This window comes from Homo sapiens, chromosome 5 (assembly GCF_000001405.40).
Source record: "Homo sapiens chromosome 5, GRCh38.p14 Primary Assembly".
Lineage (NCBI taxonomy): Eukaryota > Metazoa > Chordata > Mammalia > Primates > Hominidae > Homo > Homo sapiens.
The window spans coordinates 30,039,426-30,052,827 of NC_000005.10; the positions used below are offsets into that span (position 1 = coordinate 30,039,426).

At 37.4% G+C, this 13,402-nt stretch overlaps 1 annotated feature.

The window, feature by feature from the left end:
- Window positions 1,117-1,411: an enhancer, noted in NCBI's record as "tiled region #5569; HepG2 Activating non-DNase unmatched - State 12:CtcfO, and K562 Activating DNase matched - State 12:CtcfO". NCBI's record gives its function as "activates a minimal TATA promoter and a strong SV40 promoter by Sharpr-MPRA in HepG2 and K562 cells {active_cell/tissue: HepG2 | K562}" and the evidence as "EXISTENCE:reporter gene assay evidence [ECO:0000049][PMID:27701403]".

Genomic DNA, 13,402 nt, shown 5'->3' on the forward strand with positions numbered 1-13,402 from the left:
AAAAAAAAACAGAATGGAAGGTAAGAAAGAAGAAAGGAAGGAAGGAAGAAGGGATGGAGGGAGGGAGGGAGGGAAGAAAGAAGGAAGGAAGGAAGGAAGGAAGGAAGGAAGGAAGGAAGGAAGGAAGGAAAAATAATTTATGAAGATGGGCTGCCATGCAGGCTTTGTCTTAAAATCATCTTAACCCTTCTAAAAAAAGTTTTCTATCTGTAAACTGCTGATTTCTTTGTCTCCATAAACTTTTCAAAAAGCATCAGTGATTTTCCCATTCTTTAACCCAGGTTTAATGTTTATTTTTGTCTCAATTTTAGCAGAAAGCATGATGCTGTGATAGGGGCTGTTCTCAAACTGATGTCATCCTTCTTAATGCCTAAAACTAGGTCCCTTTAGGACACAGTAACAAGTGAGTATGAGTTTAATTTGGTGCAAAAAATATTGAAATCCATGCACAGTTTCATAATAATGTTTATTAAACATATGTTGATCCTTATTAACAGAATCGTTGTGATAGTGATATTTGCCCTTACTCTCAGCTTTGGCTAGGCCACAGAATTTAGACAACAAATTAGAGGAAACAGAAATAAAACCACACTTAACCGTGTCAAAGAAAAAGTCCCCTGTCTTGACAGTGCAGAGTAGAAAAATAAATTATGTAAGAAAAGCTTTACATGTTCTTACATCACCTGTATGTTGAAGAATCCCTTTTAATATATCCAAATTTGTTTTTGTCACTCACTGCCTTTTTAAAATATACTTAGTGAAGTAACTGTCGGGGCGTTTCTTCTCACTTATAAATACAATTGTTCTAGAGGCACTTTTATTGTTATCACAGACACAATTTAGTAATTAGAATGTTCAATCCAATATATTAATTTCAACTCTGAATTTGAATTTAATAGCATATTTCTAATCCATTCAAACCAGCCTGTTTTAAGCTGTAAGCCTTCAGGATTAAAAACGGGTATAGTGAATTTTTTATTTTTAAAGTTCTCTTATTTAAAAAAATCCCTCTCCTGCCTTCTTTTATAGACACTATTTTCAAATTAATGGCATTTCTTGTTTTAACTATCATTGAGCACTAGGGGCATGACATACATTTGGGGAGAGCTTCTTCTGTGAATTCTTCTGAGGTTTGCTGCTAGCCTCTTCTCTTTTGCCATTCTCTTGACCATGGCAAATTAACCTCTATTCTAACTGATCTTGACCACTCTTTCCCGAGCTCTGGGGATGCATCTTTAGCTTTTTGCTGCTAAGTTCCCTCCATGACTCCAGGTGGCGCTATTGGACAAAAGTCAAGATGGCTTGCTCTTTGCACAGTTCAAGTCCACTACGAGAGAACCGTAAAAGCATTCATTGTTAAAACACATCCAGGGAGTGCAGGCCCATCCCAAAGCAGTGACCTTCTCTAAAGAGATATATTAAGTCCTTTTCTCTTGTGCAAGGGTTCCGAGGTGAGAGTCAGACTTAGTTCGTTCTGCCTCCTAGATGAAAGAATTGTATATTAAGCTCTGCATAGATCTCTGTGAGAGTCCACACCCCAGAAGAATGTTTGAGTCCAGGGATCAAGCCCTCCTCTCTGTAGGAGAGGAAATGAATATCACATCATATTCTTATCTAAAGATATCTTCTTCCCAATATCTTCAATAAAAAAAACTTCTCTCCTTTTTCTTTCTCTTGCCTTTCTTACATACTTGAGGTGAATGAATCCCAACCCTGATACCAATTGTATTATTATCTTATATTTACTTTGTATATTCCACACATGGTGATTTGCCCTGGAATTTTATATTTACTATACTTTTTAGATGTATAGTAAATATACATTTATAGATGTAGATGTACTATAGTAGAAATACATTTATATCAACTACACGTTGGAGTCATTTATGAAATCTCGAAATTAGTAAGCTCTTATTATAAAATTAACAAGCTGTTACTTACAAAATTTTAATCATATAATAGTGAAATGACACTGGCTTCATAAGGCATCTTGCATACTTAACTATATCTAGATGCACTTAGGAGAAGCATTTGAGCAAGAACATGCCAGGAGATTCAGTGAAGCATAAAAGAATCAGGCACAGGCCAAAAGAGACAATCTGTTTCTGACACTTACAATCCTGGAATAGGTGTTCTATTGAAAGAGAGCAATTCTGCTTATTATAAAATAGTTTCCTGCAGGACTTGTTCATTCATTTATTCACTCATAAAATAAACATAAATATCTTGTAGGTACCAATGACGGCAGTGGGGCCCATCTAGAGCAGCCACTGTGAAGATGCTGTCTGTGGCGGGGGAGGCCTAGTCAGGGCTGCGCACTCCAGCTGGTGGAGCCAGGAACAGGCAGAAACCCCTCCTGTTTCTGAGTTGGTGGGGCAGGAGCACCGCCCTCCTGGGCACAGATGCAGTCACCCAGCCGCGGCTGTGGACCCAGGTATCCCTGCACTCTAGGGGACCTGGGAAGTCCCCTGCCCCCCACAGATTCAGAAGTGCCTGCTTCCACTGCATGGCCTCACCCTACTCCCAGTGCCCGATTCAATTTCAAAGCAAAATTGAGGTTGAGTCAGGATGCTGTCACCACCCAGCCAGGTGTGCATGTGCTCAGGACAGCACTGACACACCAGCACCCTGTCACCTTCGTGCCCTCTGAGCTTTGGGCACCAATGACCATGGGAGTGAGGCTGAGGGGGGGGCTGAGGGCAGCTAAATGTGGGCATGCAGGTATCCTTCAGCACGAATAGCCTGGGAGCCACTGGCACTATGGATAGCAGGTTTATGGTCGTAGGAGGCAGACAGTCTCCAGGGCAAAAAGGGGCAGGTCCCCAGTAAAGCCCCACCTTCAAGCCAGGGAGGTACTGAAGCATGGGGCTGGGCTGCCAGTTCTGTGGACTGGAGTGAGAACTTACAGTGCTTTTACCAGGCCTGCCCATGGTCACCCATGGACTATGCAGCACGTGTTTTCTCCCCTCTGAAACCTGTAGAAACCCCAGAATCAGCCACAGGGAGATGATGAGATGACCTGCCTGTAAAAGGCGCTACCCACTTCAGGTCTCCTGAGAACTGTACTATCGCTTAATAAAATACCTCTTTGCCTAGCTCACTCTCCAGTTATTTGCATACTTCATTCTTCCTGGACATGGACAAGAATTCAGAACCTGCTGAATAGTGTGACTGAAAGAACTGTAACACAAACAAAGCTGAAACACACCCCTTGCTCACCACGTTGTGGGTGAAGAGAAGGAGAGAAGAGGGAAAAAGAGAAGAGCTGCAGCCCTTTTGGGAGCCCAGACATAGGAGCTCCTTGAGCCAGGGCTGTGACACCCCCTTTGGGGCAATGTGGTTCCTGGCATCGTCAAACTTCTGGGCACCACTGCATTGCCCAGTGCCAGCAGTGGAAGCTGCTTGTGGTACGCCTGGTCCAGCTGCAGCCTCACAGGGAGCTGGCTCCCGTGCTGGCACCTGGAGCTGTCCACCTGCGGCAGCCAGAGTGCCTCGCTGTGAGCCGCAGCTGGACCCCACGCTCGCTCACTCACTCTCCCCTCACCGCTTTGTGCCTTGCTTGCCCTTGGCAGGTGTGGGATCTGGGCCAGTATCACAAGCTGAGCACAGCCTGACAAGCTGAATGGGTAGAACGAGCCCAATGTGCCTGAGCAAAACTGAGGCAAAGGCGCCACCAGCTACGGAAGCTTCCGGCTGGCAAAGCAACACTCTGCGTATCCCGTGACACCCACCTGTATGCAGTGAGCTAACACGCTGTGCAAGAATAACAAACATTAGTCAGATTTAACAGAAATAGTGATATAACCTTTCTAAGGAAAAGTTCATTTGGTATCCTCCAAGCCTTATTAGAAAAGTTTAAAAGTAGCATTGTAAAATATTCAATGCAGGAGCATAATCATGTTTGCCTTCTGATCTGCTACTTAATGTTGGTTTAAGTTGCTTACAGTAAGTCCTAGCTATGATTTGAGATGTAAATTTTTATTCAGTTACTGATTTCCTCAGAATTTCAAATGAAAATTCAAGCCAACAGAAATAAATCACTTTAAAAATTATCTGAGCTTTTCATGGCACAATTTGGTGATCTCAAAGACATAGTCATAGCATTTAAGAGAAAAATATTTCACTTTCTTTCAGTGATGACAAATTATTTAATTATAAAGTTAATTACACAAAAACATGAAACTAGTAATCAATTCTCTAATATATTATTTATACAAATGCAATATCAAAAAGTTACTAATTAAGTATAAACATTAAAATATTGATGAATTAGATGATAAATTAACATAATATCATATTAATATAAAGGTTTGATGGTTTGCTGAAACTAAATCCCCACTTAAAACACAAAAACAGGCTGGGTGTGGTGGCTCACTTCTGTAATCCCAGCACTTTGGGAGGCTGAGGCGGTGGATCACCTGAGGTCAGGAGTTCAAGAACAGCCTGGCCAACATGGTGAAACCCCATATCTACTAAAAATACCAAAAAAAAGTTATCTGGCATGGTGGTGGGCGCCTGTAATCCCAGCTACTGGGGAGGCTGAGGCAGGAGAATCGCCTGGACCCAGGAGGCAGAGTTTGCAGTGAGCCAAGATTACACCATTGCATTCCAGCCTGGGCAACAAGAGCAAAACTCCATCTCAAAAACAAAACAAAACAAACAAAAGTGTTGCTACATTGGCGTGGGTTTTGTTGAATTTAGCATACTTCCTTTAGTGTCTGGTATGTGATGCTTCCATTCTTTCAACAGCTTTAATTTTCCTGTTCAAACAACTGAATTTATACAGTATTCAATGGGGTTCCATGGTCTTGGTGTAGCAACAATATATTATTTAATTATTTGTTGGCCTCTGTTTTTTCCACCTTAACCTGAAAACATAAAAGAGTAAAATGATTTGTTAATTCAATGAATCATAAACATAAAGGTAAATCCATTTACTGAACTCATACTATAATGCAGCCATTATAGTTATAATTGACTCTGTAGTCCTAAGTTAGTCATTGGAAGGATGCAGAACAGACTAGTACTAATTGTTTAAACCTATAATTGAAGTAGATGCGTATACTTAAAACTTTTTCAGGACAATAACTAAGAAGGAGGATAAAAAGGAAGAAGAAGAGAAGGAGAGAGAAAGAAGGGGAGGTAAAAGAAGAAGGAAGAGGAAACTTTCAGAAACTTTAGGAACATATGGCTCCCTGAGAGACAAGGATTTAGACATTGGGGTACCTTTGTACTCAGGTTAGTTTATGAAACAGTATTTTATTTTATATTAGGCTCTAAAACCAATGTATTTCTTTTTAGTTTTATGTTCTTATTTTGAGATATTTGACATATATATATGACATGTGTATAAGTTACAAAGCACAAAAGAGTGACTGAAGGGCTGGGCACAGTGGCTCATGTCTGTAATCCCAGCATCTCAGAAGGCTGAGGTGGGAGAATCACTTGAACTTGAGAGTAAGCTCTGAAAGTATCTCATCTAGATATGTGCTAAATGCAGGTACCATAGCTGGTCTGTTCAAATTCTACCTAATTACTTTTTATCAGATATATGTAATATTGAAATTTACTTTTCAGGCAACTAAGAGTTTGCATACAAACAAAGAACAATGAACACGAAAACAGAATTTTAATGAAAAGCTTGTTGTTCACACATTGGCAGCTATTTCAAAATGCATTACAAAACTTTATGTCAATCAAATAAATTACATATATGAGTTTAAAATAATCATAAATATTTCCTCATATTATTGAGTTTTTCTGGCTCATATAATATTTTTATGCAGGAAAGAGGTTTGGAAATCAAATAATATCTTCTTATTTTCATTTTTTATGTTCCTTTGTCTCAATACATATTTTGCATAGCAGGAGATGATCAGCTTGGTATAATGTTGTCACGAGTTTGAATTAATAATATATTACAGATACATCAGTTTATACAGGAAGATTCTAGTTACTGAAATCACGACATTTTACAGTCCCTTGGTTCTACTTCTTTTATTCAAAGATATTTGAAAGTGAAGTTATTAACATTAGAACTGTTTTGACAGAGGTGGATACATAACCTAAATTTAACCAATCTAATTGCCCAGCATAAAAATGTAAAATGAGGACTGTTCATATGGATTGGTTATGAAAGATAGTGGCCTGCAGGAGCTAGCATCTATCAACTATGAGAATAGGGGAACAGAGAAGACTAGTGGTGGCCAGCATCTATCAACTATGAGAATAGGTGGCCAGCATCTATCACTAAGTGGTGGCTAGCTTCTATCAACTATGAGAACAGGGGAACAGAGAAGACTAGTCCAGAGAGAACAAAGATTTAAGCAAAGGAGAGAAAGAAAAATGAAAATGGAAATGAACTTCTACGTGCTTTTATGGCATAGCTTCAATCCCTTCTTGAGTACTTCCTGACTTTGTTTGTGGTCCATTTTTTTAGTACTTCACCTTTTATTTCTTGAATTTGTTTTGTTATTTGCAAACACAGGGCCCCAATTAATTTTAATCTAAGCGTTGGATAAACACATAAAAGTGAAATTTCACTACTAGCATGATTATTCCTGCCAGATCTACTGTGTACATCTAAGTAAGTTATTTGACTTGTTTTGTATAAATCCAAGAAACAATGTTCCTATCTGTTGTACCAATTACATGAATTAATACTTGTAAAATGCTTAGAATAGTGCCTTGCACATAGTAAACACTATGTAAGTGTTGGCTCTTGTTTGTATCCTATTTTGTAAGCATTTTTCATTTATTGATTCCATATTATATGCTACATTGTAATACACCCCAGGAAGCAAACAGTCCATTTGATGGAATTGGCTTCTTTTTAAATAGAAATGGTTTGCAGTATTTTTTAATGGAGAGGAGAGGGAAGGAAGGAGAAAAAATTAAACCATTGCTCATCATAGATCTGTGTTTTATTGCACAGATGAATAACTTACCCTTTAAGAAGAACATTTAAGTAAAACTTTTAAAGATATTTTTCTCACATTTTAGGTTGCTGTTTCTAACATGTAGGACATTGTCATTTTGGAAATAAACCAAATAACCCTCAATAGTCATGTTTTTCAAAAATATCCATCTTTAAAGATGTCACAATTTCTCCCTGTAGTTTTACTTTCAACATGACCTGCTGTCTTAATATGAAAAGGCATTTGAAATGAGCTTAGTTCACTATTAATGAAACTTGTCTCAGGGTCACAGTAATTTTTTGTCTGCAATGAGGTTCTTCCTTTAGATTCTTATACTTCTTTTGAAGAACTGATGTGTTCAGCTTTAAATAATAAACTAAACTGCTCTCTCTTGTGTCAGAATGCAGGCCAGGTGGCCAGACAGATAACATGACAACTTAAGGAAGGAATTTCCTACTCTTTCTTACCTTATGAACTATACTTTCATTCCTCTTCAAATGCTGGCAAGCAAAACAAAAATGTTCTTATAAAAGGATGGGAGGAAGAAAAACAGATTTCAATTCATTATGGCCAATTCAGAAGTAAGCATGACAGTATATTTCCAAAACCAAACCAAACCTTCACTTCTTTAGAAGCAAGGAATAAGCTGAAGACTAAAATAAAAGTCCTACACTTCTTCAACAGACTAATGGACCCTCTTTTGGCTAAAAGTCTCCAAAGTTTTAATTCCTGGACGTGGTAGGACAGAGGCTGGCCATGTCCCATTTGCTGCTACCCACCTTTCCCTTACTAATCATTACTAGATTTTTATCAAAGGTTGACTTGAGAAGAACAAAAGACCAGAGTACTTCTTTGCCCACCTCATTCAACCACCCAGTACCCTCCTCCTGTTTTTATGGTTCTGACATGACAGCCATCCCAAGCCACAAAGAGCCTCTTGAAGGATTACTGCTGGCTACAGATCAGTTCAGACTGATCTCCTGAGAGTATGTAGTTCCCTGGACTTGGCCGTACGCTTTGCCTTTTTACCTATGGGACCTAATGATAATGCATTTAAATGTTAAATCTCCACCCCAACGTGAATCTGGATCATATGTTGCTGTATGTTTCATATATGTAAACCTAATACACGTGCACAACTTATGTCCATGAATATTCATAACCTTCTCCTATACCCTATAAAATATGTGTGTCCTGCTTCCCCATGCAGCAGAAATACCCACCTCTACTTTCTCCCCTTTGAAGCTCTATTAGTCTGTTTTCACACTGCGGATAAAAGCATGCCCATGACTGGGCAATTTACAAAAGAAAGAGGTTTAATTGGACTTACAGTTACACATGGCTGCGGAAGCCTCACAATCATGGCGGAAGGCAAGGAGGAGCAAGTCATGTCTTACATGAATGGCAGCAAGCAAAAAGACAGAGCTTGTGCAGGGAAACTCCAATTTTTAAAACCGTCAGATCTCTCGAGATTTATTCGCTATCGCCAGAACAGCATGGGAAAGAGCTGACCCCATGATTCAATTACCTCCCACCAGCTTCCTCCCACAACAGGTGGAAATTCAAGGTGAGATTTTGGTGGGGACACAGTTAAACCATATCAGAAACATGCTTTACGGTCTCTGCCAGAGGCTTGCTTCCCACCTGCAGGATGTAACCTGCCTAGAAATAAAATTCTTTAATTTGCTGAAGTTGATTCTTTTTCAGTTGACTATATAGATATAGATAGATAAAGATATAGGGTACAGATATTTCAACCTGAATCAGCAATATGAAAAATGGAACTAGAGGTTCTATCTCTAAGCTATTAAGAGAGAAATGGGAACTTATGATGCTTATCCACCTTGGAATAAAATTTAAAATTACTAGGAAAACTACTAACGTATAGAAAACAGATTTAAATGTTATGTTAAGGTAACTTTTTTTCTGTAAAGGAGTCGCTTGGGGTTTTGTGAGTTTGGCATCATGCGATGTGTGTAGTCTGATTGGTAGACTTGTTGGCACACTTGTAACATTTCTCTAATGGTGACTCTTGAATTGCTCCTCTTCTCTAGAATGCACTGTCTGAAAATTGAGAGTGTCCATAGTCATCATAGTTGTTCAATTTGTACCCAGTCTGCTTGAACTGAGTACTCCTCAGAAAATTGGGGTTGTATTATTTTCTATTGTAACACATTACCCCAAACTTAGTGCTTTAAGGAAAAATTTAATATTGTATAGCTCTGTTGGTCAGAGTCTGACACAGTTCTCACTGGGCTAAAATCAAGGGACAGGTAGAACTGTGATCATTTCTGAAAACTTTAGGGGAGGATTCCTGACCTTGTCATTTCCACCTGCTTGAGGCTACCGTCAAGCGTTGTGGCTCATGGCCTCTTCTTCCATCTTCAGAAGGGAGATTTGAACCCTCCTTGCACTGCATCACTCTGACTTCTTCTTCTGCATTTCTCTTCTCCTTTTAAATGATAACATTGTCCCTCCTCTCACTGAGATAATGTAGGATAATCTTTTTATGTCAAGGGCAGCTGTTTATCAAACTTAATCCCACCTGCAACCTCAATAGCCTTTTTCATAGAACAATATATTTATAGTTTCCTGGGATTAGGACATTGATATCTTTGGGGCCAGAGAGTGCCTTATTCTTCCTATCACAGAGACTACATTTGCCCTCTGTGTTGCTTAGCTTGTATTGTTCAATGCTAACTTTCACAAAGAGATCATAATTTAATCACTAAGTGTCTCCATTTGAGGAAAGTTACACTTACGAATATATCATAGAACCATTACTTGATATTCATGTAAAAGACTGGTTATTGTCAATAAAAATTAGAATAATTATTGGAAAAATCGTTTGATTTCAAAGTGAAGTGAGTAACAAAATGTGGATGCAAATTCACTCTCTTTATTAAAAATCAAAATAATGAGCGTCATATGTAGTATTCATTATTTCTTTGATGAACTCAGTTTGGAAATTTTATAAACAACCAAGCAAACTGAGAATATGGCCACGTGATAAAACTAAACAGGAAGGTTTAAAGACATACAGATAAGCTAACTTGAAGGGAAGAATAGAAGATTAAACCAAATGTTGAATAGAGCAAACAAATCAGTTGTTAATTTTAGATTAAAAAATCATTATCTTCTTTAAAGACCTTGACAAATCAGGTACCTAATTAACAGTAACTCAATTAAGCATCTCATGCATGAAACACAGCACTCCATTCTTTTGATTTCATTTTTTGCAAAATTAAATTTTAATTTAAGTAATATTTTGCTAGAAATAACAAAAATAATCAACAGAGCAATCCTACTTAAGCAGGACTTTATGCCTTCTCTGCTTTTGACGTAAAGTAAAACTAATCACAAGCATTCACTATGCATGAGAAGCTAAGATTTTATATAGTTTAATTAATGTAACCTTCAAATAATTGACACAAGGAAGTCCATATTATCATTCTCACTTTATAGATGTAAAACCTGAAGCGCTGAGAGGTTAAATAACTTACTTAGGAATAGCTATATTGTGAAAGATAGATAGCCTTTCTAACCCACACATCCTGGCTTCATAACTTCAACTATTAAGTGGTTCCCTACTGTCTTCTAACATGGGTCACATACAAGTCTTTTCCTTCTTAAATGGAAGACTCCCAAAAGCTTATATGGTTGAAATTTGATCAGTTATCATGAGAATTAAGAAAAAAATATATAATTTATTTCTCATGTTATTGGACAATTTATCAAACTTTGCATCTTTTAGATTTCCGTTATTCTGTTCTTCCTAGGGTGAGCTATGCTATGTTGCATTATTCATTCAACTTCTACATTTTCGGCCTCAAAATCACAAACCTCAATGCCTGCTAAATGTAAACAATGTAAGTTTTTACAGCTTGGAAATAATGAGAGTCAGTCAGTTAGAATGTTCTTTATCTCATTGGGCCTGGATATGCATGCCTGCTGTCATTCCTACTCAGCTCAGTACTTTGGAGAGAGGACAAGGTCAAGATGACCATTTAATAGTTTTCTATGGCTGTATAACAAATTACAATAAACTGAGCAGTGTAAAACACAATTTATTATTTTACCGTTTCCGTGGGTCTGGAATCAGGATATGGATTTACTAGGTCTTTTGCTCAGGGTATCCCTGGGTTGAAATCAAGGGACTACAATTCCATTTTAGGTTTGGAGTCTTTTTTCCAAGTGGTTTCATGAATAATTCATTTCCTCGTAGCTATAGGACTGCAGTTTTCAGCTCCAAGAATCAACCCATTGTTTTTGATCTTGTGGCCTTTTGGGAAACATAGCAATCTGCTTCGTCAAAGCCGATAGATGAGTGTCTGTCATCCGATGCTTCACTTTTTAAAAAGTGGCTCAGCTCAGTAAATCAGTACACAAAAACAATCTCCATTTTGATTCACTACAAGTAAGTTGATAGCAATTGAATCATAGGAATGATATCCCATTATATCCACATGTTTCCCTGCACATGTTATATGGAGAGGAAGGGTTATATGGAGAATATGTACCTGGAGTCAGAATACTTGGGGCATCTTAGAATTCTGTTTGCCACACATCATTTTCCAAGTTTGATACAAACATTATAAACCATCCATCTTCCAAGTGTCTAGGTTAAAAAGATTTTACTCTTAAAATTCAGTAATGTGATGGATGAAGTTTTAATATCCATTATTGATTATTATGTATATTTTCAAATGTAAAATACTAAAGTCTATTTTGTTGATTTGGAACATAGTGTCTTTTTTGCTGTGAAGATGTTTCACAGTTGAATTTTAGCGTTCCTGTTCTATGTCAAACTGTCATTTGAGAACTTGAATATAAACAATATGCGATATGTTTATTTCTATATTTATTTGTGGTATTTTAATTGAGTTTTCTTATATATACTAAGTTGACATTATTTAATTTATTGAAAGTTTAAGACTTCATTTAGTTTAAAAAGCAAATAGTCTATCTAAACTAATAAAAGATCAAGACAACAGCTTAAGTCTGATTAAAACTTCTAAGAATTTAAGGAATTGGGAGTATTTTACTGAATCAAAGCTGTTTGTGCTTTATAGCAGGGGTTCCCAACCCTTGGGCCATGGACCATAACCTGTCAGTGGTCTGTTAGGAACTGGGCCACACAGCAGGAGGTGAGCATCAGGCAAGCAAGCATTACCATCTGAGCTACACCTCCTGTCAGATCAGCGGTGGCATTAGATTCTTATAATAGCTCGAACCCTGTTGTGAATTGTGCATGCCAGAGATCCAGGTTGCACACTCCATATGAGAATCTAATGCCTGATGATCTAAAGTAAAACAGTTTCATCCCAAAACCATTCACCCAGCATAAAAATTGTCTTCCATGAAATCCGTCTCTGCTGCCAAAAATGTTGGGGGCTGCTGCTTCACAGAATGTAGCTAGATCTACTATCGTGGCTCAATAGCACAAAAATCTAATCACTGTTTGGGGGTCTCTTCGAGTGAGAAAGAAACTTAGGGTCAGACTAACATGGGAAATAAAAAAAAGAAAATACAGTGTTAAATGTTACACTGTTTTCTTGAGTCCACAAAAAATATTTTCTTATGGTGAATAAATTGACTTTTAATCTTATGCTCACTGCATAGGTGCCAGGGAAATATTCTATCCAGCAAAAAATATTTTCCAACTTCATGGCTGCAACAAAAATATTTGCTAAAGTGTGGAATTATCTCCCCTGTTGGGACTGAGAGGCTAAGCAAGGGAAAGCCTTATATATTATGGCAACTCCTGTGATCATTTTGAGACTTTGAATATGTTACAAATTTCACGTGATGGTATTCCACTAAGATGACATATGGGCACAGCAGATGCTTGCCTACAACTTGACCTGGAACTGAAAGTCCATTGTAAAGATAAACAATGTTAGCACTCCTCTAGATAATAGGTAATTTGACTAAAAATGCATCTACTTATTATTCATAGAGGATTTTCATAAAGTTTTTGAATACACATTTTTTAACAACAAAGGTTTAATAATTTATGTAGTTCACGTAAGGCAATTAGTTCTCATGCAACAAAATTAATTCTCACATTTAATTATCTTTTTATAACCTAGTTCTGTACAATGCAGAATATCATTTCTCAAGAAACAATGTAATAAATAGTGCTTATATTATCAATTACTCTGTTCTCTTTATTCAATTTATAATTTATCCAACACAATGCAAGTTAATAACAATATGGTTAAGCATATAATAGTCGTGATGATAGCTGAGTAAATTGCTATAAAATAAAACAAACTACTAGTAAAAGTCCTTAGTAGAGTCAAGTACCAGTAATTAAGGAAAACCAGCTAATTAGATATAAACAGAATTTTTGGTTACTCACTTGGCTTTTAAATAAAAATCATACTAGGTTTTGTTAACTATAATTTTGCTGCAAATCGTCTACTTTGCATTTTTATAAAGCATATCCATCGCTGTTTATAATTTGCATAAGCATTAGCTCT